At 45.7% G+C, this 26,617-nt stretch overlaps 1 protein-coding gene across 2 annotated transcripts in view; it reads right to left on the bottom strand.

Moving 5' to 3' along the window:
• The window catches only part of ASIC2 (acid sensing ion channel subunit 2), a 1,143,682-nt gene that overhangs the window by 64,077 nt on the left and 1,052,988 nt on the right, over nucleotides 1-26,617 (bottom strand). For both annotated transcript variants that reach the window (NM_001094.5, NM_183377.2), the window contains exon 3: nucleotides 11,700-11,827. In NM_001094.5, coding sequence (NP_001085.2) covers nucleotides 11,700-11,827 — 128 coding nt within the window. The remainder of the gene's footprint in view (nucleotides 1-11,699; nucleotides 11,828-26,617) is intronic.

A 26,617-nucleotide genomic window follows, 5' to 3' on the forward strand; every position in this document is an offset into this window, starting at 1 on the left:
GACCTTGGCCCAAGGCCATCTTCCTGTCCTTTGTCACCCAAATGCATCAAAGGCCCTATTTTAAGAACTCTGAGTACTATTTCAAAACACACAGCACATAAATCGGGAGTGATGACTCTCATTTCAGAATGATTTCTTCTTCCACAAGAGGATCTGCTTCAGGGTTTGGAGCAATTGATGAACCAATATTGATTATGCCTGCCATTTATTCATTCATTGATTTACAGTGTTAGGCTTGTGCTAGCTGCTGCAGAACCCTTGCCTTCAAAGGGTATTCTCTCATTGGATGGAGCAAGACATGCAAATAACTTACGTTATTAGGTAAAGTTATATTAATAGACAATTGACTGCTATTAAAACATTTTAATTACTCAAAGAGGGAGAGAGAGAGGGAGAGAGACAGAGAGTGAAAGATCTCAGTAGGTGAGGGACCAGAGGTATTTTGGGGATGGAGCAGTCTAACAGATAAGCAGTATGATTTACTAGCCCACAGAGAATGATTACTGGGGGCTGTCCAGCCCGTTTGTCACAACATAAACAAATGCAGGGACTTCTCCAGTTGTGATGGCTGGGCAATAGTTGTTTTCAAGCCTGAAGGAGGAGGGGAGAACAGGAAAGAGGTGTCTTTTTCAGACCCCTCCTTCCCTTACCCTTGTCAAGGGAGTGTGACAGTCAGCAAGACTGTTCATATTCAGTCATTCATTATAGTTGATATTTCTAAAAGACGTGTTGGTGATTCTTTAAACTTCTCAGTTGCCAAGAAAAAGATGCAACAGCTTTTGGCCTATGCATGGAAGTGTCCTCTATAGGCCCTTTTTCCCCCTTTAAAAAAAAGTCAGAAACCAAGGCCACACCATTTGGAGTTCAGACAGTGAACTGCCCATGAATCAAAAGATAACGTGACACTGGGCAGCAGGACCAACCAAAGCATGGTCTGATTTATTAACTTGTCCCCTGAGTAAGATAAAGTAGGTGAGTCCATAGACATTAGGGCTCCTTTCTTCTGCCTGGGTCCAAGGAGGAAATAAGCCACCGAGAGATAAGCAGCCAGCTTTTGATGTCAGATCCAGTGCTGAGTGGGTGCAGGAGCAGCCAGTTCTCCCTGGAGATGCTAGTGAGGGTGGGCACCACCAAGGGTCTGCACCATGGACCCAGGCTGGGGCTGCCATGTCAGCACCATTTCTAGCTTATCCTTTCTTCCAGGTCTCAATAAAAAGACTTATTTTTTAGTTCCTAGTGTTCAAAGAGTATTTAAGTTACACCATATCTGAAGGCTAAGAATTTAAATGGACAGTAAATTATTTAAGTTAGCCCTCAGAGATCATTGCACAATATTCGATCCATCCTTCATTCCATCTAAGAACTGTAAGACCTAATCTTTTCCCGTAAGAGTTTACAGTATACTGGGGGCATGCTACCAGACAAATAATAGCTCTTTTAGTTGATTGATTGATTGTAGAAATGGTGTCTTGCTATGTTGCCCAGGCTGGTCTCCAACTCCTGATTCTCCCTCTTCAGCTTCCCAAAGTGCTAGGATTATAAGTATGAGCCACCACACCCAGCCAGCTATAGCCCTTACTCCATGATTGATTGGTTGATTGATTGGCTACCTCTCCTGCTGGCCTGTAAGCTCTAAGAAGAACCAGGCTAGTCTTGTCCACTGGTAACCTAACACCTAACACAGTGCCTGGCACATAGTAGGTGATCAATAAATGTCAATATGAGATGATGAGAGAGTAGGACAGGAAGAAGGCTCAAGGCCTAAGTGGGGCAGTGTGTAGATGAGAGGGGGCTGTGTGCTGGAGGGCAGTGAGATATAATCACTGGGAAAAGTGATGGTGGGAGCCCGGAGGTAGAATTTGGGCTTTATTTTATGGGTTGGGAAAGACATTAATGGGTCTCAAGCAGGCTGTGACATGATAAAGTCCTCTCTCTCACATTTATTTATTCGTTCATTTCATCCAATGCAATTTATTGAACATCTTGTATATGTAAGGCACCATGTAAAATATGAAGAATAGAAGTATGATAGAATCATATCCCCAAAGAATTCCCAGTTTGGCAGGGGAGATAGATAAGTAAACAGACGGTTATAATGTGTACATTTTATGCTGGAGATTTCCACATAATACTCTGGTATGGCCATGTTTGCACTGAATCTTGGAGGAAGGACACATACAAGTGAGGTGATGAAAGGGTGGGAAGGGTGTTGCTGGCAGAGGGAGAAAGGAGAGAGTGTGCGATGCTGGGAGGAGGGCTCTGTTTAATGTGGCTGGGGTGTTGTGTGGGAGGCTGGGGGAGTAGAGTGAGAGGCCACTGAAAGAGAGGCAGGAGCCAGACTGGAGAGGTCTGTGAAGAGATTCTTGGACTTCATCCTGTGGTTCATGAGGGAGGGAGATGAGCAGGGCTGTATTTTAGAACGGTCATGTTGTTGCAGAGAATGGGTTGGGGAGGGACAGAGTGAGCACTGGGGAGGCCAGTGAGGCAGTTGTTGTTCTTATCTGGGTGAAAAAAACATAAGGAACTGAACTAAAGTAGTGTCTGGGGTGGGGGATAATAACAGCTAGCATCATTTGGGCACTTACGGTATGCCAACTGTTCTATGGGTATTACATGTATGAACCCACTTAGTTTTCCGGTCCCCCTGTGAGGTAGGAACCAGCATTATCCCCATTTTGCAGATGAAGAGAATGAGGAACAAGGTTCCACAACTAGCAAATGGGGATTTGCACTCCGGCCATTTACAGAGTTTTGAATCTAGGGGAGCATCAATTATGGGGTGCAGGTGTGGGGACAGGGAGAAGATGAATTTAGTTTTGCCTGTTGATTTGGGATGTCCATGGGACTCTAAGCGAGGAGTTCAGCAGCCCCTGGAATGTTGGGTCTGGAGCTCAGGAAAGAGGTCCAGGCTGGGGTGGCAGTCTGGGAATTATGGGAAAGGATGCTGTAACCTGGGAGAGGACAATACAGCAACCTGGAGTACCACTAGGTAAGGGGTGGCAGGGGAAGAATTGCTTATGAAGGGGGCCAAGGCAGAGTGGGCAGGGAGGTGAAAGGAAGCCAGGCAGGAGTGAAGAGGAGTGTCTCAGGGAGGGTGTGGTCCACAGTCCACATGCTGTTCAGAAACCAGGTGGCATAAAGACTGAGGAGTGTCCCTGTCAACAGAGGCTGGGTTTAGCCAAAGAGATCTCATGAGCAACCTTGACAAAGAAAAGTTTCAGTGGTGTGCTGGAGGTGGACTGGCAAGAAAAAGGGAAATGAAGAATCAGGGATAAGCGAGTACTGCAGGCCCCCCTTATCCACGGGGATACGTTCCAAGACCACCAGTGGATGCCTGAAACTGCAGATAGTACCCACCCCATATGTATCATGTTTTTTTTTCCTATATATACATACATACATACATACCTCTGATAAAGTTTAATTTATAAATTAGGCACAGTAAGAGATAAACAAAAATAACTAATAACAAAACAGAACAATTATAACAATATGCCAGCATCATGACTCTTGCTCCTTGGGGCCATGATTAAGTAAAATAAGGGTGACTTGAACACAAGCACTGCCATACCTTGATGGTAAATCTGATCACAGACACGGCTGCTAAGTGACCAGCAGGCGGGCAGTGTATGTATGCAGCGTGGATATGCTGGACAAAGGGCTGATTCACGTCCTGGGTGGGATGAAGTGGGATGGTGCGAGATTTCATCACGCTGTTCAGAATGGTGCACAACTGAAAACTGATTATTTCTGGAATTTTCCATTTAATGTTTTCAGGCTGCAGTTGACTGTGTGTAACTGACATCAGGGACCGAGAACTTTTTGGTGACTCTTTGTCAGGAAGGCAAGGAGAGGAAGAGGCTGCAAGGTAGTGGGGAGGTAAAATAAAGAATAATTTTATCTCCTCCTAAGACTGGAGTATATTTTTATGGGATTCAGTTTTTGATTCCCCAACAGTGCTAAGCACAATACCTAGCTCATCCTAGCCAATCAGCAATTCTTTGAAGAATCCTTCTAATTCCTCCCTCATCCTCTGCTGTCAAGTCCACCTTGAGAAAATCAAGCTTATATTGTGCAGGAAAAAATGGTGAAAACTTGACTCTTGGCAAAATCGTCTGGGGATCTGAAGATATTACTACTTTAGATGCTGAGTGGCAACAAGTGATTAAGTAGCTAAACTAGCATATGCTTAATTGATTCTTATTCTTGGGCTATTCATGGGAAACAGTGTACCCTGTTGATGGTGAAGGCAATGTCTACACAGCGGGCCATCTCACCTTGTGGCACCTCTCCAGTGCTTTGATGGGGTGGAAATAGATGCTTCCATATTTATGCGGCTCCATCTTTGGCCATTTGGAAGTCACTAAAGTCATGTGTAATAAATTCTCTCTTCTGCCTTGAAAAAAACCAACTGGGCAAGCTTCCATTTCTAATGGGGTCCATGAAACATGGATATTAAGGACCATGGATCTGGCTGTCAGATTGACAAATGAGTCTTCCCTTTTGAAAGGCACTTAGGAAGTTATAATTGGAAGCTTGAGAGGAGTTGTCAAAAGCAGGCAGTGGGCATCCCACCAAGCTGCTGGGCCTTTTTATTTAGGGGTGGGGTGAGGGATACTGTTTCTTCTTGTGAGCCATGGTGGGATTCCCTTCAAATGGTGGAAATGTGGCCAACTTATACCAGAGGCAGAGGCTTAGGCTTCTGTAGGAGCCAACTGGTCCTGCCAAAGACCTAACTAGAGCTGGCAAGACCTAAGTATTCTTATTTGCCTTTATTGTAGTCTAAACAGGCTAGAGAGGCAGTGGTTAGATGCAAGGTGTTGTGTGATGGTAGGCATTCTCAGGGCACTTTAGATACAGCTCAAGTGATATAAAGTCTAGGTTGTGGAATGGAAACCCTTCTCATTCCTGATGGTTTCCAGCTGGTAGTGAAAGAGGTTCTTGGTGACAGTGGGAAGTCTCTGGGAAGGGACATTCAACCCTGGCTCCCCAAGGTGTTTCTGAGGCTGTCAAATATAAACCCAGGGCCAAGATTTCCAGGAAATTTCCCGAACAATAACGTTGGTGGGCCAACTAATTGCCCAGAATCTCTAGATTCATTCCCAGGACCACCAAGAAGTATAAGCAAAGTGGTTGAATAAATATTTGATGAATACATGGATCAACACTTAGAAAACAAGAATCACCACCAGGCTCTTTGAAGAGAGGGTGGGAGATGATGAAAGGCTTCTGATATCAAATCATGACTTGGAAGTCCAGGCATGGTGGCTTACACCTATAATCCTAGCACTTTGGAAGGCAGAGGTGGGTGGATCACTTGAGGCCAGGAGTTCGAGACCAGTCTGGTCAAAGTGGTGAAACCACGTCTCTACTAAAAATACAAAAATTAGCCAGGCATGGTGGCACAAGCCTGTAATTCCAGCTATTCCAGAGGCTGAGGCACGAGATTTGCTTGAACTCAGGAGGTGGAGGTTGCAGTGAGCAGAGATTGCACCACTGCACTCCACCCTGGGCGACAGAGTGAGACTCTGTCTCCAAAAATAAATAAATAAATAAATAAATAAATAAATAAATAAATAAATAATCATGGTTTGAGCAAAGAGTCTGATTGGTGATGTCAACGTTGAAGACAGCTTGGTGCTGTCCCCATACCGCATGAATATCCCAGCTTTGCAGTTTCACATATATTTACTCACTCATTTAATTTTCCCCGAATTCCAGAATTCTGTGCTGGCTCTCTTATCTGTTCATCCACTCTTATCTACACAGATGGCTTCCAGATCTATATCCCTAGCCCTGACCCCTTTCATGAGCTTTTGCTTTGATTAGCTTGTCTAAGCCAGAAACGATATGAATATATCATCCATCACAGCCCAGCTTCATAACCTCAGGGAGACGGGCTTTCAGGGCAGATTTTTAATGGGACAGTTGGCAGAGGTGAGTTAAGGAGGCAGCAGGGAGCATTAGAGTATAACATTGGATTGATTATCCAGTTGTACTTCCAACAACTCACATTTATGGATCTTATCTATAAGCAAGGCACTGGGGCCACAGAATCCAAAAGACACAATCCTTGCTCTCAGAGGGCTCTGAGACTATAAGAGACAAGGGCTGAGAGAGGCAAAAGAAGGCAGTTCTGGAGAGGTAGGTGTCAGGAGCAGTGATCCACATGAAGTAAGCCTACATGGGACTGTTGTACCCTTGGAAGTGTGACAAAAAATGCCAAATCCCCCACTTCATTCTGTGAGTGCTCCAAGACAGGGGCCAGGTCTCGCTTATCTTAATTTTTCCAGCACATTCAGTGCTCAGGGAATATTTGCTGAGGGAATAAATGAATGTACAAAATATTGTATGGAGCAGCTAACTATTCCTAGGAAGGTGGCAGGATAAGACAGCAAAGTCTTCTTAAAGGCCATGACCTTTGGGTGGTATCTGGAGGTGTGAATAGGCCTTTGCCAGGTAGATGAAACAAGGAAGGGCAGATGGAACAGAGGGAGCAGATGCACAGAGGCTGCCATCAAAGAACATGGGGTGTTTGGTGGATGGTTCTGCATCATTGGGATGTAGGGTCCATCCTAGTCAACCACAGGCAGATGAGGAGGTTGGAGAGGTGAGCTGTGGCCAGGCTAGGCAGGGACTCCAGAGCCATTCTAAGGGGTTTAGATTTTTGTAAGTTACAGAAAGCCCTGGAATGTAAGGGTGTTATGTTGGGTAGTGCTGTGACCACTGAGGATGTGGGTTGAGGAAGGGGTACTACCAAGGAGGGTGGCCAGAGCCTCTCTCCTAGAGTTTTAGGCTACTCCACCCCAGCTCCTGCTTCTCACTAGCAGGAGCCCAGATTCTGCCTCCCAGAGCTGGGGAGAGGGTTTATCTCACATCCTTGTCATAATTTACCTTATAAGCATCCCATGCCAGCTGGCAGAGCCGGGAGTGGGTGCAGAACTGCTGTCAGCCAAACTTCCTGGTGATCCTTATGTCCTTGAGTGAGCAGGGGCAGGGACTCCCAGGTGGTGAATGCTAGAGGTCATTTGAAGTCATCTCATGGAATCTTCTCATTTTACAGATGGAAAAACTGAGGCCCAGAGAGGGCAGTGACCTATCCAAAGTCCCATGACACAGCAGGACTAGAATCCAGGCCTCTGGACTCCTAGGCTGATTTGTTCTCCACAGTACTGAGTAGCCTTATTTCTTTGGGCTCATGGTAGGAAAAGACCAGCCTGCCAGCCAGTCCCTCCCTGGATTAGCTCCCTGTGCGCTCTCTCCAGAGAGTCTTCCTGAGTTACAACTGTGCAGTGTGGCAGAGCAGAAAGAGCATGGGTGCGGGAACCTGGTAGATTCGGGCTTGAAGCCCAACCCTGCTGCTCCCCTAGCTACGCAACCTTGAACAAGTTATTCAACCACGCAGTTTTGTCATCTGCAAAGTGGAGATATCAGAACCCCCCCTGCAGGGTTGTTGTGGGAGATTAAATGAGATAATGTGCCTCAAGTGTCCCTACAGCATAATGCCTGGCAGGTAGCATGTGCTCCATTGATAGGAACTGTTGTTATTCTTCTACCCTTCCCAGGGTTCTATTTCTCCTTCCAGCATATTATCCCGCTGCCTGTCTCTGGTGGTCCTGGGATTGTGCAGAGGATTTTACAGCAACTGAGTTAACCAGGGCACTTCTTAAGGTTGTCTAGGAAGGCAGCCAAGGCATACCTTGACTTATTTGTTTTTAGGGCAAATGCAGGTTAAGAAAGCAATCTTTGGACTGGGTTGTAGCCCAAGAGTATATTCTTTAGGACAATAAAATAAAATTTAAAACATTTGGAAAGGCGTGGTGTGTGTGTAATTATGCATGGGTGAGATAATTTTCACCATGCAGAAAGACTTTCCCATTTATACAAAGATTCATGGTAGGACTTCTTTAAGTCACTAGTTCCTCTTAGGGCTCTTACTCTGGAGTCAATTTTCCTAGCATGATTCACACCAACTTTCCAGGAAAGGGCTTTCTACTTCCTACGACTTGTCCCCATGGCCTTCCTGCAAAGTTTCCTTAAACTTTGAGCCAAAGCAGCAGAATCTTGGATTGATAGCAACGTAGCTGCCACATTTTATGGATATACCATATACTATAAGATGCACCATGATTTTATGTATCACCAAGAAAGAATAACAAACACTGCTTATTGTAATTTTAAGACTTAATTGATTGTAAAACGAATCCTTATTTCAGAAATGTTAAAATGTGAACACAAATATGCCTCTTAACAATCAATGAAATGAAGTGTTTGAGGACCAGGATCAACTGGATAGATTTGCATACTCACAGAATGAGAGCATACAGCTGGGGCTAAATCCTCAAAATATACTTGGCTTAACATTATTTTTGCCTTTGTTAAAGAAACCGCTAATCTACAGGCTCTGTGAGGGCAGAGACTGCGTCTCTTTTGTTTACCACTGTATCTCTACCACTTCACTCATAGTAGGTATTCAGCAAATATTTGCTGTATGAATAAATAGAACAAAGCCACAACATGAAAGAGATGGAAAGCCCACAGAAGAAAATAAATTATTCATAATTCCCCCAGTGTGGGTATTTTGGCTGATTTCCTTCAAGTCTTATTTCCTATGAATATGCTCTTTTATATACATGTAAATATAATGTATTATTAGATTTAGCTCTGGGATGTGTTTTTGTATTTCTCTATTAATATAAATGAAATGATGAAATGAGATGATGCGGAAATGCTTTGAAGACTGTAAAATGTTTAACAAATATCTTATTAGTTATAATAATCATGAAAATACAGACATGAATGGGGCTGATTTTCTGAGAATACACTTCAAAGCTAACAGCAAATTTGCCCTCCGAAGCTGGGAATATGTTCTATTTCCTCATCCTACTCACCATAGGGAGTCCTTCTGTTTCATATTGGGAAGGGAAAGAGAAACTTAAGGATTCCTAGAAGTCATAGCTCCGACTTCCCACCCAGCCCAGAAATTTCTTCCATCTTACTAATGGAAGATCAGCCAGGGCTAGGGGAGGAAAAAGCACATCTCTCAGGCTGATGAAAAATAGCAGCCTACAGAGAACTTCCTCCTCTCCACCCCTTACTAGTGGTGGGGAGAAGTTACACACTGGATTCCAAGGAATGTTGTTCACTTATTCTGCTGCTAATAACAATGTAGATAGCAAAGAGATGTCAACACAAGTAAGTAATTCATCATAGTAGGGGTAGGTACATTCAACAAGCCACAAAGTCAGATTTGCCATGGACAACTAATTAACAATTTACTTTTAGAAAGTCACAGAATTTATACACATATTGATGAGTCTAACCTGTTCCTGGTTCTTTGAAGGGATGTGGGTTTACTCATACAACAGAAGGGAGTGCTGACCGATTTTCTCTCCTTGACCAGACTCTAGCCAGGCTCTTCTGAGCCCTCTTCTCTTCTAAGCCTCACCCTTAGTTGGCCTATGAAGACTTGAACAAACACTATCATAGTTTCTAACAGCCCAAGGTCATATCCCTAGAATACCTCTATCCCCTCTTAAAGTGCCTGCCTGAGAAAACTCGAGGCTGCCAAGAGAATTTACTCTTTGCTCCAGCCAACACCTGAATATAGGGCCCCTGTCTCCCCGTCTCTGTGGGAGGGTAGGAGCCTAACTAACTTCAATAAGCACCAGTTAGCAAACCCAGATGCTTTTCACAGGGACCAGCACCCAAGCCCCTTCCTGTTTTTTATGATTTTTTTACTTCTCTGACTCTGCTGCTCAAGCCCTTGCTGTTGCCTCTGCCCACTCCCTCATTCTCTCTTTGAAACACCCAGGCCCTCTCTATGAATTGGGGTTGAGTTCAGTTCATGCTGCACCCTCTTCCCTACTGCAAAAGTAAATAATTGATTAAAATCTGCCCTCACCATGTCAACCCATGTCCAGCTTTGTTTACTTTTGACAGTACTGAGGAGCTCACCTAGGCTAGTAGCTCAGGCTCTCAGCTCACCCAGGCTGCCTGTCCATCTGCATGTCTTTACTGGATAATCCTTGTTCTCACTCTTCTTGACTCTCAAATCCTTAGCCTTGAACTTTGCCCCTGCCATCCTCATGCCCTCCTTTGTCCTCAAGGATATATTTTCCTGGTTGCACCATTTGGTTTCTACCTTGCATACCCTTGGATATTCCCTTTTCTGCTTGCATCACTTGTCTCAGTTTCTGGGATCCCATAGAGGCCAGGCTAACCTTCCAGCACCTCCTGCTCCTGCATCAAAGCTGCAATCCCATTCCCTATGTGCTTCAGTGAAGGTTGACCTTGGACTTCATTAACTGCCCAGGCATTGGGTACAGGGCACAGTTTGTGAGGCCTATGCCATCAACACTTTCCCAGAGAGTAAAAAACAATATAGCTCACGTATAGATTTACAACCAGTGTTTTTTTTTTTTTTTTTTTTGAGACAGGGTCTAGCTCTGTCTCCTAGGCTTGAGGGCAGTGGTGCAATCTCAGCTCAGTCAGCTCAAGTGATCCTCCCACCTCCAACCGCCCAAGTAGCTGGGATCACAGGCATGCACTACCATGCCTAATTTTTTTTTTTTTGGTAGAGATAAGGTCTCATAATGTTGCCCAGGCTGGTCTTGAATTTCTGGGCTCAAGGAATTCTCCTGCCTTGGCCTCCCAAAGTGCTGGGATTACAGGCGTGAACCACCGTGCCCGGCCCTACAACAAGTTTTTAATGCAGAATATCATTTTATAAAATGGCTAAACAGCTGTGATCAGTACCAGATGAAAGATGACATTTGAGCCAAATTTTAAAAGCAAGCTGAGCTCATCCATTACGTGCATGTATCCTTCCTTGCTCCTCCGTCATGGTTCTCCCTGAGTCTCCCTTTCCCACACCCCAGAGCAGGTGCCTTCACTACTCACTGACTTAGCTATGCCTAAGGTCTTCCCCAGAAACTTGTCTTAGATGATCTGGTTTAGGATTCCCTCCCAGTCACTGTCTCTCCAGTTTTTATTCTAGGAAAACCAGGCAACAAGTATTCAGGAGATAAAAGAAAGAAACGGAGTCCGTGTCTCTCCGCAGTCCTGCTTTGAGACTGCCTCCTTACTGAGAGTTTGCGAAGGTCTCCCTTTTGAGATGTAAGACTCGCTTCAGACGTGAGGCTGTGCCTGTCCTCCCTCCACCCACAGACAGAATTGATGCAGCAGTCCCAGCTGGCCAGCTGAGGTCCCCTCCCCAGCGCTATATCAAAGAGAGCAGGCAGGATCCCATGTAACAAGGGCTCGCTCCACTTAAACTCTGTGATGGGAGAGGGACGCCTCCACCCCTTTTCTTTTTGTAGGCTGCTTTGAATTGTATTAACGCAAGTGATGAAACATATCAAGCCCTGGTTAGCAGTTTTCCTTAGCATCCCCTGGCCAAAAAAAAAAAATTTTTTTTAAATTAACTTGTACAAAAAGTCAACTGTAACAGAATGTTCTGGAAAAGAAAAAACCCAACCAGTTTGGTGAAAAGAAAAATGAGCTGGGTTTCCTTCATGCCCAATTTTAGGGAACAACAGGTGGTACAGGAGAACTGGTGACGAAGGTTAGCCAACATCTTTCTCTAGTTTCACAGTAAAGCCCTTGACCGAGTGGGAATTCCATTTCTCCTCCTTGTGCCTCTGCAGGGGGTCGGGGGAGGCTGAGGACCATCAATCCTGGGAGCCCAGGGAACTTACCCTCTGCTCCTGTGTGGCCACAAAGGTCTGGAACCCTGGAGCCACCCCAAAGCCCAGCTCTTGGATGAAAGGTGGCTCAGACTGACTGTGGATCTGAACTTTCACTCCTGCTTCAAATGTCGTTTCCTCTGAAAGAACAAAGATGGACAGAGCCACGGGTCAGTAACAACAGATGCTCATGGAGTCCTGGGATTGAAAAGCTCAAAGGGATGCTGAAAAGACCCTGTGATAAGCAGAATAATGGCCCCCAAAGGTGTCCACATCCCCACCTCCAGAAACTGTGACTAGGTTGCCTTACATGGCAAAAGGGACATTGCAGGTGTGATTGAGTTAAAGTTCTTGAGACGGAGAGACTACCCTAAATTATGCAAGTAGGACCCAATGTAATCACAGAGGTTCCTATGAAAGGGAGGCAGGAGGATCAAGGTCAGAGAGAGAATGGAAAAATGCTATGCTTCTAGCTTTGAAGACAGAGGAAGGAGCCATGAGCCCAGGGATGCAGGTAGCTTCTAGAAGCAGGAAAAGGCAGGGGAATGAATTTTCCCCTAGAGCTGCCAAAAGGAACACAGCCCTGCCAACAACCTTGATTTTATTGAGCCTAGGGAAATCCATTTTGGACTTCTGACCTCCAGAATTTTAAGATAACGAATTTGTGTTGTTTTCAGCCACTAAATTTGTGGTAATCTCTTGCAGCAGCAATGGGAAACAAATTCAGGTCAGTTTGCCAGGTCAACTCCTTGCCTCAGTTGCCAAATCTATAGAATGAGATTATAACATAAGTCAAACTCCTTTATTTTATTGATTAACTTTTCTTCTGGGTCATGAACTGAAGGTGGGGATATCAGGAGGAGGAAAACATGATGCAGCAGTAGAAATAAAAATGCAGGGCTTTCTTGTATGCCAAGGTGTTTGCCCCTTGGGGCTGCAATGGCCAAGTAGAAGAGAAACTTCCCTCATTTTTTCCTTTGGCAGAAGAAATGGCCCTTGGCAGTGGGAGGTTGGGGGCGGTACAGAGCCATCATCCTAAATGTTTAGTGCTCACAATCAGTGGAAAATGAACTTATGGGACTGTATAAGCCTTTACCAGATCCCCCTCTCTGTCTTGTCTTCTCCAAACAGTCTACAGAATGAGCTCTCCAAATGTAAACTGTATAACTCCCTCCCATGTTTCCAAGGACCCCAGGCTCCTTACCCACCCCTTCCCTAGCCTTGTTCTGAGTAGCCTCTGCCTCGAGGCACCATGCGGGGCTGCCTGGATTGGGCATCACTGGTACCCACTCTGCACAAATGCATCTCCTTCTGCCCAGAATGTCTTTCTACCTTGTCCACCTGACCATCTTCCCACTTGTCACTGAAGATTCAGCTCTCCATCCCCACCCAAAGCAACTCTTTCTCTTGCTCTGTTGTATCTTCCACATCTGCCTGCTGGAGCCCCTGCCATAGCACATCGTGATGAGGCTTTAACTGTTTCCTCCAGCAGGCTGGAGTATCCTGAGGCCAAGTTCTGGGCTGTCTCTCTGGACCTCAAAGGTCCTGCACATGGCTAGGCATACACCAGGCACTCAGGAGATGCCTAATGAATGAATAAATGGGAGATTTATGGGTCAAGCCTCAATCATTTATGAATGGACAAGGCCAACCTGGAGGCCAAATCAAGGAATGTTCTCAAAGAAAAAAATGGAGAGAGAATGGATAAATGCAGGAAGGAGAGAAGATAATGATGGGGTTGGGGGTCAGGGATGGAGAGGGGGAGGACATGTCAGCACTCAGGCTGTGGCTTGGGGAGGGTTTGGGGACAAACTAAAGCTGGCACAGAAGAGAGTCACTGGGAAGGAAGGGCTGGGTCCAGCCACGGGAAAGGCATGACCCATGGAAAGTGTGGGGGCTATTGACTGAGGTAGGTGCAGGGGTCTGGAGCAGGGCAAGAATTCCAAGGCCAGGGGCTACGTGGAAAGAAAGGGCTAGCAGGCAGACAGGACCCCAGGGAAGGGTAGGCAGGGCTTTCATCATTTAGACAAGGAGACCCTCAGCCAGGAATCCTTTTGGATATGGTTCATGGAGTGGGAGAGAATCCAGGCAATCTACAAACACATCCCACTTCCCTCCAGTACAGTCATTGTTCTGTGGTTTCTGTACAGCATCACCCTGTCCAAACTCCTATCCATATGCTCCTGGAAGCCTGTGGCTTTGTGTCAATCTCTCCTATTGATGGTGAATTCCTCAAGAGAGACCATATTTTATTCAGTCCAGGGCTCCATCACCTAACCCAGGGCCTGGCCCTCAGGTGGAACCTCAAGGAAGGTTTTTAGATCTGGGAGGAGGACTTCAGGAAAGGGAGGACTGGATGGAATGAGGGGGTTGAATAGTCATCTTTCAGTGGCTGTGTTTTCAAAAGTCTGTCCAAGACGGGGGTTGAGGAGAGAGTGTGGAGCCTGAAAAACAGACTCAGATGGGGAAGAAGGGTGAGTGTGGAGGGCTGTTGGGATGACAGGGATGCCCCTGCTGGGAGGAACTGAAGGCTCCTTCAGTGAGCCGTGGGAGGGAACAGGAGAGATGCCAGAACTTGTTTTCGAGAGCTAGCTGAAGCCGTGTGTGCCTGCTATACAACCAAGCTTAAGAAATCTTACAGCCAGTAAGACAGGCTCAAAAGAGAGGACCTGTGGTTTACAGGAGAAATGAGAAATGAAGGCTTCCTGTCAGAAATGCCATGAGTAATGGGCAAAACATACAGGCCTGGTGTGCCTCTCTTAGTGAGAACCGCCCAAGGCTAATTGAACTGGGTTCGGATTTGGAAGAGGTGCTAGCTTATTCTGAAAGCAGCAGTAGCTGCAGCTGAGAGTAAAATCCTAAAGTAGCCTCAGTTTTTAAAAACATCCAGTGGCTGGATGGACATGAGTGGGAGCAGGTGATAGGTAAGGTTTCTGCTCTCTTTAGAGCACTGCGGACCAGTGGAACTTTCTGCAAAGATGGGAACGTGCTATTCCCTGTGCTGCCCAACATGGTAGGTGCCAGTTATGAAAGGTGGCTTGTGTGACTGAGGAACTGAATTTTTCATTTTATTTAATGTTAATTAATTAAAACTTAAGTTTAAATAGCCCCATGTGGCTAGTGGAAACATTGCTGGATAGCACAGTTCTAGAATATCCAGCTATGAGCAGACTACAGCCCTCCCAGAGCTGAGGGGGTGACGAGAACTCCGCCATCTTGCCTTCCTAAGCAGGTGCTCTGGAGATGCCCTTGTCTGGAGTCCTGGGTAGTTTGGGCAGGGTTCCGAGCAGCAGATCAGTGTGTCTTCATGGTCAAACCACGACCATAGTTCCAGATCCTCTACCCTGCTTTCCCCAAAGCCCTACTTGTACATCTACAGATGCATTTCTTTCTATTTCTTACCAGAATTGCCCTTGGCTTCCTTTTAAAGATTGCTTTCCAGGTTGGTAGTGAAGAGCAGCTCCCTGCAGTCCCTGCCCTCACTCTCTTCCCTTTCCTGGGCATGGCACAGTATTGAGTTGAAGACCCAACTTGAGAGCTGAAGTAACAAATGTAGACTGTTAGAGCCAAGGCAACTTCACACCATCCACTTTGGAGGTTCCCAAGCTAGAATGCAAGTTAAAATCTCCTAGATGGCTTGGGTGATGCTTCCTGGGATCCACTCCCAGAAATTCTGATTCAGTCACTCTGGAGTGGAGAGCAGGAATCTGCATTTCCAGAAATTCTGATATAGGTCTGAGGTCATCTACATTTGGGCAGTGATCTAGTCCAGGGAAGGGAAGTGACTTGCCCAAGGTCAGACAGCAAGTCAAGAGCAGAGCAGGGGCTAGAAGCCAGGTCTCCTGAGTTCTAATGTGGCACTCTTTCTACTCCACCAGGAGTGTGGTTTATTTAGTGTGAGCAGATGCCTTAATTCATAGCTCTGGAGTTCTGAATGGGGGCTGAGGGCATGGGATATCTTTTTCTTTGTAATCACCCCTAATGTCCCTAGCACAGTAGCTGGCACAAAGCAGGGCTCAATAAATGTTTGTTGAATGGAACAAATGAGTGAGGAAGTATCCCTTGCTTATGTCTGCTGTTCCCTGCTGTATCTGGTCAGCTGTGAGCCTGCCTAGGTTCTGGAGGACACTGGTAAACACCAGCACCGCATAATTCAGGAGGGCTCACCTGCTGGCATGCAGGTGGGGCTGCACACACAACAACAACACGGCAACAATAACAGTAACAATATGACTGCACTCATAGTTTGTGGGTCCCAGTGCCAAATGAAAATGCAGGACCCCTTGTTAAAAAATGTTGTTAAAAATTTATAAAAGTAAGCATTGTTATTAAAAAATAAAAGAATTTCAAGACAGCAATCTCAAGAGCATTAAACCAAGTGAGTGGCCCTTCTGATTGTGGGCCCTGTGTGACCGCCCTGATAGTAGCATCTCAAACTGGTGCTGGACAGAATTGTTCACATCCTCATATTTGTCTTATTGGCAACTGATTCAATGCTAAGCTCCTTCAAAGAGTGTAGGTCTCTGGACAGTGAATGATTTGTTTACACATCATGAACACCAGGATTCAAGGACAGAAAGAGAGAGAGAGAGAGAGAGAGTGCAGAGAGAAAGGGAAAGCTACTACATACATACTATGTAGACAGTATGTACATGGGAGTTCTTGTTAATTGGTACCAAGCTGAAACGCAGACAGCGTAACATGAAAGATAATGCTGAACCAAGAGGAGTGTGGTAAGATGGAGTTCAGCCTGCAGAAGCCACAGTCTCCCAGCATTTTCCAAGAGCTTGGCCATAGGTGGCACAAGGTGAGATCTACCTGGCCAGGGAGGGAAGTGCATTTTCTGAATATGCAGAAAGGACATGGGAGCCCTGTAGGAGGAGGCAGGAGCAATAGGCAGAATGCATAACGGGGCAGGGAAAGTGCATCACGATAAAAGAAGCTAAAATCTTTCATCTTGGCAAATTACGGAAAACATGCCAAGGAAATAAACACTGGAGAGAAGTAGGAAGAAAAGTTTATCTGAATAGCTAGGGGGAGTTTTCAGAGCTCAGAGAGTGAACGTGCTGATACAAAGCAATCTTGCTTTGGACAAAAATGACTTTATAACAGTGGCTGAGTGGGGGAACCCTAGCTCCCCAGATAGCTTCAGAGGAGAGGGTGGGACAATGGCCAGCCATATAAGGGGCATCTCACAGTGCAGCAAGGGCCTTGTGTGGGTATGGGATAGCTTCTGTTTGCACCCCCTTCCCAGTGCTTCTCCACCCTGCTCTCTGTGCTACGGGTTTGACTTGCAGAGACTGTCTTGATGGACTCTGTTGCCCTCTGGCTTGGGATCAGTTAATGGTGGGCCAGGTAGGAAACTGGAGGGAGAGAGGAGAGTCAAGCTGGGGTGTCCAGTCTCTCAACTCCATTTGCTGGGTCACTGTGGGTTAGCTGCATGTCACTTTGGAAGGCCACAGCTCCGGGTTGGGGGCTGGAGGGAGAGCTCTTCATAGTGTCTCTCTCTGGGTTTTGACACCAGCTTCTTTCCTTCTTTCCGAGGGGGTGGTAACGGCTCTCCCTGCTACAAGTACCAGGATGCTGCACTCTCCTGTATTGCTTTTCCAAGCCTTGCCCATGCCTTTGTTAACAGTCTTTGATTAATTTCTCCTTTTAGTATTCAATTTGAGGGTGCTGTTGATTTCTCTGCTTGGGTCCTGACTGGTGGATCTCCCATGGGCTCTCACTTAACTTCTGATAGACAGCAGGAGTCCCCTCTGTGGTACCACAAAGGGAAGGACGGACATTGGGTTTGAGCAAGTGCATAGGGATGGAGACCTCACTCCCTGCAGGGGCAGCCCATGGTTTTGGAAGTTCACCCTTATTTTGGTTGAAAACTGCCTGCTTATAGATTTTGTCCCCTAGTCCTAGCTCCGCCCCTTCTACTCCACACCTCTTTAAGGATCTCCCCAGAGATAGAGTGCCTGTTTCCCAGACAAGTGAGTCGGACTTTCTGAGAGAGGCAGAAATGCAGACCTCTTGTACCTGGAGCATCAGAACCAGAGAGAGCCTAGACAAATTGATTAAATACTTGGGGCTGTGGGATCAGGCAAGTTGAAGTCTAGTTCAGTTCTGTGAACTATAGCAAGTTATTTAATCTCTTGGAGCCTAATTTTTCTCATTTTTAAAATGGGTATGAACATAAAAATGGATTGTTCTTCATAGAGCTGTTGTGAGGCTTAAATGAGCCATTGCATGGAAAGTTCTTAGCACAGAGTTTAGCTTAATAACTCAACAATTTGCAGTGTCATCATCACCATCATCACCATGAATTCAGTATTTCTGGCTTTTTACAAGATCCAAGGGGATCAGTTGCTGTTTTATGTTCCTCTTTGCTCATGCTAGTCCCTCCATGTAGACTGGCCCCTCCTCTCATCTTCCATTTGGTTACCCTCTGCCCACCTTTGCACTCACCACCTCCTCGACATTTTCCCTCCATTCGGTGCCCCAATGTCTAGTACTTACCATGTTCACACTTGATCCCAACTCCCTCTCTGTTAAGACTGAGAGATCTCTTGGGGACAGGGTCAATGTTCATTTATGTTTATAATCACAGTGCCTGGCATGCAGTAGGAACTCAAAAATGCTTGGTGAAGTGAACAAATGTGCACAACTCACCTCTGAGACAGAGGATCCCACCCTCCTTGTTTTACAGATGTGCCACCGAGGTGCTGAAAGGCAGGTGGATCTGTGTGGATCTCACAGGGAGTTTGTGGCCAAGCTGGGTTCACATGAAACCTGCTGAGCCAGCTCAGAACCCCTGCTGCAGCCCAGTGAGTGGGCAGCTGTGTAGGGACTTCAGGCCAGAGGCTGACAAGTGCATGGGGGCTGGGCAGGGGCAGCAAAGTCTGCCTGGACCATCCCCTGAAGGGCCGTGGTTGGCATTCTTGTCTTGGGTGGCTGATATCTTTCTGGTCTCTGCTGCTCATTTAATCATGTGGCTTAATCCCTGGGGACCTGTTCATTAAGGCCCATCCTTTGGGCCTCACTGCTACCTATGATCAGACAAATGGGCCTGGAGTGTCCCTGTGTCACCCAGGCATGGGGAGGGGCTTGGCCCATCAGCAGCTGGGCCACTTATACCCGGCAGTGGCATCTCTGGCTACCACTGTCAAGCACCTGCTGTGGCACTGCTCTGCATTCCCTAGGAGACTATAAAGTGTGTGTGTGCCTGTGTGGGTGTGCATGCAGACGTGTACTAGTGTACGGGTGTGCCAGAGAGAGAAAGCAAGAAAGAGAGAAACTCTCTCTGAAATACAGGAACATTTTTCTTATTTCTTCTTATTTCCCTAAAGCATTTCCTGAGATGCTGCTTTGGAGTTCATAGAAGCAGAAAGGAACAACTGACCCTCTTAAGGACAAGACCCAGAGCTGGAGCCTCACAGCAGTCCACATTTTTTCCCTCACTCCCTGGAGTTATGCATCGAATGCCTACCATGAGCATGTGCCACCGGCCTTGGACCTTTGCCTGGCTGGCTTGGAGTTTTAACTAAATCATGTCTATTTTCTGCATCACACTTAGCATGTGCATGAAGCACATCTTCCCAGAATGAAAAAAGTCAGGCTGCTTCTGGCTGCTAAATGGATACCTGCCTCCAAGCGTGTTTCTGATTTATGGCATCATTTCTCCAGAGTCCTCGGACACCTGTGGAGACCCCTATCCAGCACAGTGAAGCCAACAGCATGGTGAAGTCTCTGTCCTCCTGGAGCTCATGTTCTGATGGGGGAGGTGGACGATAACAAACAGGTACACGTGTAACATCAGGCTGGCGATGGAAAGTGCTAGGAGAAGTGATGCAGAGGAAGGGCAGAGCAGGTGTGGCTCGCTTGGTTGGGAGTCAGGAAAGGCCTGTTCAAGGTGAGGGTGTTTGTGTAGTAACCAGAATGAAGTGAGCAATGAGCCATGGGATGATCCGGGAGAAAGTGTTCCAGGTGGAGGGAACAGCAAGTGCCAAGGCTCTGGGACAGGTGCACACTGGGGCGCTTCAAGAACAGCAAGGAGGCCAGAGTGGCAGGGACAAGGCCAGAGTGGCAGGGACAAGGTCAGAGGCCAGCTAACCATTTCGTTAACACCTCACAGTTACCCTTAGAGGTAGGTGCCCCCATTTTACAGACAGGGAAACAGGCTCGGAGAGGTCAGCTGGCCCTAGCCACACAAAGCAGATCCAGAATCCAACCCTTGTCTGCTGGGCTCTGAGGCCTGTGCTTTTTGCCCCCTGCCATGTGGCCTCGCTCAAATACTTTGTGCCTTTCTAGCATCACTGACCACATTCTTCATTGGTTTGGGTCCTTTGGGGCTTTGCAGGCTGGGACCCTGAGCTGCTGAGCTTTGCATCCCCTCTGGGTCATGGCGAAAGACAATCTTGGCACATGTACGGTAAGCTTCGGGGTTTTCACAGACTTGATCCTGCTGGCTCCTCCCAGCTGTCCTGAGGCAGGTGTCAATATCTCCATTTCATTACATTTCATTTTATTTTTTTACATCATGCTCATTTTTCAGATGAAGAAACCAAAGCTCACAGAAAGTAAAGAACAGACCCGGGGCCATTGACTCACGGCTGCGTAGAATTTTGGAGCCAGGAGACCCCTTGACGATTTAGCTAACTTTTCACCTTTCAGATGAAAAAATGGAAGCTCACAGAGAAGACAGTGGCCAAGGGCCACATGGCACGTGGCAGGTGGGCAGTGGCTGGGATCCAGGTCTCTAGATTCCTCACCCTCCCCTGCCTTTTGTTAGTGGGCTAGAAGCCACATTGGTGCCAGATGACAAGCTGATAAAGTTCCAAGCTGGACAGGGAAGGATGGGGAAGAAGAGTTTATTTGCAGTAGGCTCAGCAGCCTTTGTTCTTTCATCTTAGAAGCTCAGTGAGTGTGGGACAGCGACAGTAACACGGACCAGAGTCGCAGCCCCAGCCTTGAGATCCTGGTGGAAAGGGCATGCTGATGGTGTTTGAAGTCAACCAGAGGTGTCATTTTAGACCCTGCTCCCCTGCTCACACCAGAGAAATCCAGGGAAAGCCCAAGGCCAGGGAAGAGAGGCAGAGAAGTGCATCAAGGAAAACACGGGCTCTGAAATCACAGAGACCTGCTTTTGACTCTTAGTCCCACTACTGAGACCTGCGTTTGACTCTTAGTCCCACTACCTAATTGCCGGGTGACCTCAGGCACGTTAAATTGCCCCTCTGAGCTTTAGTTTCCTCTGTTCAAATGAAGCAGGGGCTGATCTCTCAGGTTACTTTTAGCTCTAAAATTCTATGAGCTGAGGGCCATGTGCAAATGTCTTTACCTCACTGCATCTCATTTTAATCTCCTGCAAAATAGATGAAAAAAAATAGATGTGGCTGTTCATAGCTCACATCAAGTCAGAAGAGGCTGATTTCTCTAAAGACAGCACAAAGAATCCACAAATTGCTGCCTATCTAAAATTGGGCAGTGTGTATCTTGTCCTTCCTCTCCAACCCTTCCCTGACAGATAGGCACTGTAGGGCAGCATCTCTAGCTAAGGAGATCCGAAATCAGCACAAAGATGGGCAAGCTCAGGCTTGATTGCTCACAGGTGATATTTTGAAGCTAGGCAAGCTTCTGGAGGAAGAAAAAAAATCAACATTGTGTCCCCATGCGGGATGGGCTGCAATTATGCCTGTTCTGGGTGGCAGCGTGATGCAGCAGCGTTCTTACCAATGGCTGGTGATCCAGGAGATGCTACCAAGTGTCCACAAGAGTTTGGCGAAGGCTGCAAACTTCAGCCCCTCCTGCAAAGCCATGGAGCACACTAGTATTTTAAAGACGCTATGACGTCCTGCAGCAAAAACATGTTATACTTTGTTGATCCGAGTGTTACCCAAAGCAATCTTTTTTCTTTTTCATTTTTCATTTTTAAGGAACACTAGCTCTGTGTGGAAAAAACCAAGGAGGACCAAATCGGAAGATGTGGATTCAAATCCTATTCTACTACTTCTTAGCCATGAGGCTGTGGGAAAGTCACTCAATGTCTCTGCTTACAGTATATATATATATGTATATACACACACACAAAATATATATATACACAAAATATATATATAAACAAAAATATATAAACAAAAAATATATATATAAAAACAAAATATATATATATTTAGATGCAGTCTCACTCTGTTGCCCAGGCTGGAGTGCAATGGCGTGATCTTGGCTCACTGCAACCTCTGCCTCTCAGGTTCAAGCGACTCTCCTGCATCAACTGCCCGAGTAGCTGGGATTACAGGCATGCACCACCATGCCCGGCTAGGTTTTTTTTTGTTGTTGTTGTTATTTTTGTTATTTTTAGTGGAGACGGGGTTTCTCCATGTTGGCCAGGCTGGTCTCGAACTCCTGACCTCAGGCGATCCACCTGCCTCAGCCTCCCAAAGTGCTGGGATTATAGTCATGAGCCACCGCACCCAGCCGCTTACCGCATTTTAAAATGAGTTAATCTGTTAAATGACTAGAACTGCCCTGTCTACATCATAGGAGTGTATGAGGATCAGTGGCTGGAATGTGGGAAAGCACCTTATACACTGTGGGGTGATGCGTCCATGTTGGGGAAGGAGATAGTTAATGTTAGGTCTTGGTTATGCAACTGAGAAATGTGGCTACACTTTCATTCCTGCTAAACAGCATATTTGCAAAATATGTATTTGTGAAAGCACCGTGTGTGGAGTTGGGGGTAGTCTCATTACCAAAAGATTTATCTCAAGCATTCTTTAAATAATGAGTTTTCCTAGTGCATTCAGTCTCAGAGATTATAAATTACTTGATAAGAAGGCTGATGATTCTGGGTGGGTAACTGGTGTTCAGATTATCACCCTTGAAATGCCATCAGAAAGTGTCTAAAATTATAGGGAAAGTTGGTGGATGATTAAGATTCCATTTGTAAAAATTCTGTTTACACACACCGATGGTGGAAGTTAGGTACAACCAGACTGCTGAGTGGCTCATGTATATAGATTGTGATGTGATTATAGAATTCAAAATCATCCAAAGCATTACTGGATTCATAGCAATTTTTTGTTATACAATATTCTCTCAATGAATTAAAAAAGCACAAGAGCTTTCATGTGGGATACTGGCTGAGAAATATTTTGATGTTAAGAAGACATCCCCATTCTTCCAAATGGTGGGGAACAGTGGTCTGGATCAGAGCTTCTTACAGTTGGATGTGCACACGAATCTCCTGGAGGATCCTGTTGCAACACAGACTTGGGGGTGGGGGAAGGCAGAGACTCTATGCGTCTAACCAGCTCCCAGGTGATGCTGATACTGCTGGTCAGAGGATTACACTTTAGCAGGACTCCCAAGAGAATATCTACATTTTTGCAGAACACATAGGCCCCTGGTGATCTGGCCTCTACCTATCTTTCCAACCCCAGGTCTCATCCTTAGATACAGATGCCCTTGCACACTCTGGGCTGTTCTTGGCCTCTGGTCCTCATTCCCTTCCCTCTGCTCAGGACCTCAGCTTTCCAGGTCCTCAGATTTTCCTCTAACTCCCACACGCTGCCCAGCAACCTGGCAAACAGGCCTGAGACTAAAACCAAAGGTCAACTTCTCTCTAAAGCCTTCCTTTAGATACGCTTGTCCCCTCCCTTCTGGAACTGACTATCTCCTTCTAGATTCTCAATCTATCTTCTATCACAGCACTTGGTGACACTTAATAGTTGACACGTTCCCCAAACAGACTGCAAATGCTTGGCACTCCTTGGACACTTTATATGAAAGTTGTTGGGTGAATACATTTCCATCTACCATCTAAAAAGAGCCCTTCAGATATTCCCTAGATTATAAACTTCGAAAACCTGGACTGGGCCCTTCATCTGTATCACTGAGGTGCCTGGCACACAGTAGGTATGCAGTTGAGATTCACTAAATTGGGGACATGAGGTCTGAGGTTGGGGCTGTCTCATCTGCTTCCTAGCTGTTCTCCTCAGACCCTTGCACCAGCTGGGAGTTTTAACTAGAACACACGTATTTTCTGCATCACACTTAGCATGTGCATTACGCACATCTTTCCAGAATGAAAAAAGTCAGGCTGCTTCTCATGCTAAATGGATACCTGCCTCCAGTGGTGTTTCTGATTTATGGCATCATTTCTTTAGAGTCCTCGGACACCTGTGGAGTCCCTGTGTCCAGCACAGAGGCCCACTCTGAGAGTGAGCCTAACATCCCAGCTGGCTGCTGTAGGTTCCTGTGCCCTGGACACTCGGAACTCAGGCCAGAGCCTGCTCCTCTCATTCTGGGGAGCTCCTTAGGACCTGGCACCATGACAAGAGGTTTTCCTGGGAGCAGAGATGTCGGAGAAACCATAGCAACCATCATCACCCACGCTTGTTCTGCCCCATTTGTAAAGGGGGATAAGAAACGTGCTACCCGTGATAGCTGCTCAGGCCTTCCAGCTATGCTAAAAATTTATGATGATTTTAAATTTAATTATTATTTTTATCAAAGCAATATATGTACATAATTTAAAAATCAAGTGGTATTGCAAGGCTTCTAATGAAAACCAGCAGTTTCCTGCTCCACCTCTTCCTACCCCCGAGTCCTACTTCTCAGAAGCAACAACTTTCAACTGTTTTAGCTGTTTCTTCTGGTATTTACTTTCATATTTCCATGAATGTCAACTGCTTGAGATTTATTTCTTGGTTTTAAAAAATTTTAGATCCTGTCTACCCAATTTCTACCATGTAGGAATCATCTACAATCATATTATATTATCTGCACAATTCCTACCTAATCACAGAAGATGAGGATGTAGGCTTCTTAGATGATGTGTTCCACGATGCTGCCTTTCCTTTCACCCTCCAAATATAGTGATATGATATTTTGGTTAAATCAGTATCCAGCTTTTACATAACCATGACTCTGTAAATATTGTGCACAGCCCAGCCTTGCAGTATATAATGTTTTTGATCTCTCTCTTGCGAAATAAATATTTTGTTTTTCCTGTTTTTTTTTCCATTTTGTTTTGTTTTACCTTGCTTTTTCCTTGTTGGTTTGTATGGCTTGCTAGTACCCATCACTAGAAATCCCAGACTCTATGGCAGAGCTGTAAAATGCCTCTCAGGACAGCCAGACAGACCCACAAGGGCCATCCCTTGTGGATCCAACATCTTCCTGCTCCAGTTTGGATGGAATGCTCTCCAGGCCTCCTGTGCAACTGTTGTCCTGGTTCTTCTCTTCATCCTCATCAGGAAATTCTCTTAGGCCAGATCCTTGTCTCTGGAATCTTATGCAATCCTTGATTTACCTTCTCATTCTCCAATAACTTCCTGAAAAAGTCTACATTTTTTGGGAAACCAAATTCTACTCTCACACTTCATTTGTAGTTTGCTGGATATAGAATTCTATTCAGAAAAGAAAGCGTCCCCCTCCAGAAACTGGAAAACATTTTGCCATTGTCACTTTGCTTTGGCTGCTTCTGTTGAGAAGTCCTAGGTCGTTCTCATTCCGGATCCCAGGTATGTGACTATTTTTCTCTCCAGAAACTTTAAAGATTTTTTTCTTTATTTCTGTTAGCCTGAATTTCACCAGGATGTGTCTTGGTCTGGTTTTTTGTTTTTGACGCTATTGCAGACAGGAGTTGGTGAGCTTTTTCCATCTGGACAATCATGTAGTTCAGTTGAGGATTTTTGTTATATTAGTCCTTTGACAGTGTCCTCTTCTCCATCCTCTTGGTTTTATTACTCTAAAACTCCTAGTAATAGGATGTTCTAGAATAGCTTCCTGGATGGACCCTCTGATTTTCTTATTTTTCTCTCACTTTCTACCTGTTTGTCTTTTTGTTTAACCTTTTCGGGAGATGTTCTCAGTTCCAATCCTTCTATGGATTAAAAAAAGTTTGCAATCACATTTTAAATTTATTTGTTTGTTTGTTTGTTTATTTATTTATTTATTTGAGATGGAGTCTCGCTCTGTCGCCCAGGCTGGAGTGCAATGGCATGATCTCGGCTCACTGCAAGCTCCGCCTTCCAGGTTCACGCCATTCTCCTGCCTCAGCCTCCCGAGTAGCTGGGGCTACAGGCGCCCACCACCACGCCCGGCTAATTTTTTGTATTTTCAGTAGAGACAGGGTTTCACCATGTTCGCCAGGATGGTCTTGATCTCCTGACCTCGTGATCCGCCCGCCTTGGCCTCCCAAAGTGCTGGTATTACAGGCCTGAGCCACAGCACCCGGCCACATATTTTAAGTTTAATTTATTCTTCTCTGAAATTTCCTTTTTAATAGCATCCTATGCTTGTGGTTATGGAGGCAGTATCATCTCTTATCTCTCTTGAGAATTTTAATTAACGTGTTTTGATGTTTTCTCCTGCTTCCTTCATTTATTTTTTATTTATCAAAAGGCGTATATGGTGTCTAATATTATCCAGGCACTTTTCTAAGCACTTCATAAATATTAACGCACTTCAATCCTCCCAACAACCCTATAAATGTAGATAATATTATTATTTTCATTTTAGAGGTAACACAGGTCACACAGATGGTGTTACAGCTGGGATTTGAACCCAAGCAGCCTGGCTCTATATCTTGTGCTGTTAGCCAATGTGTCTATTTCCTCAATGTTTCTTTTTGGTTTGATTTGTGTTCATTGCCTTTTAGTGGGTCCCCTCAAATGCTTGGCTCTTTGGTGGCTCATTCAGGGGTAAAAGGTCCTTAAAGGCTTCCTTGTGTTGAGGGGGCACTCCTCAAGGGACTTCATTCTAGGGTGACCTAACTAGGCCTTTTAAGGCTTCCTGACTGTCATTATCTGTGGATCTTTTATCTTGAGCTTGTAGTCTCCAGGAAGGGATCCCCTCAAACTTCTGCTCAGGTGTGGGTGGGGTAAATTAGTCTGGCTGAGGGTCCCACTACTCAGGAAGTAGAATTTCCCTCACCT

The sequence above is a fragment of the Homo sapiens genome, chromosome 17 (genome assembly GCF_000001405.40).
Source record: "Homo sapiens chromosome 17, GRCh38.p14 Primary Assembly".
NCBI classification, from domain to species: Eukaryota; Metazoa; Chordata; class Mammalia; order Primates; family Hominidae; genus Homo; species Homo sapiens.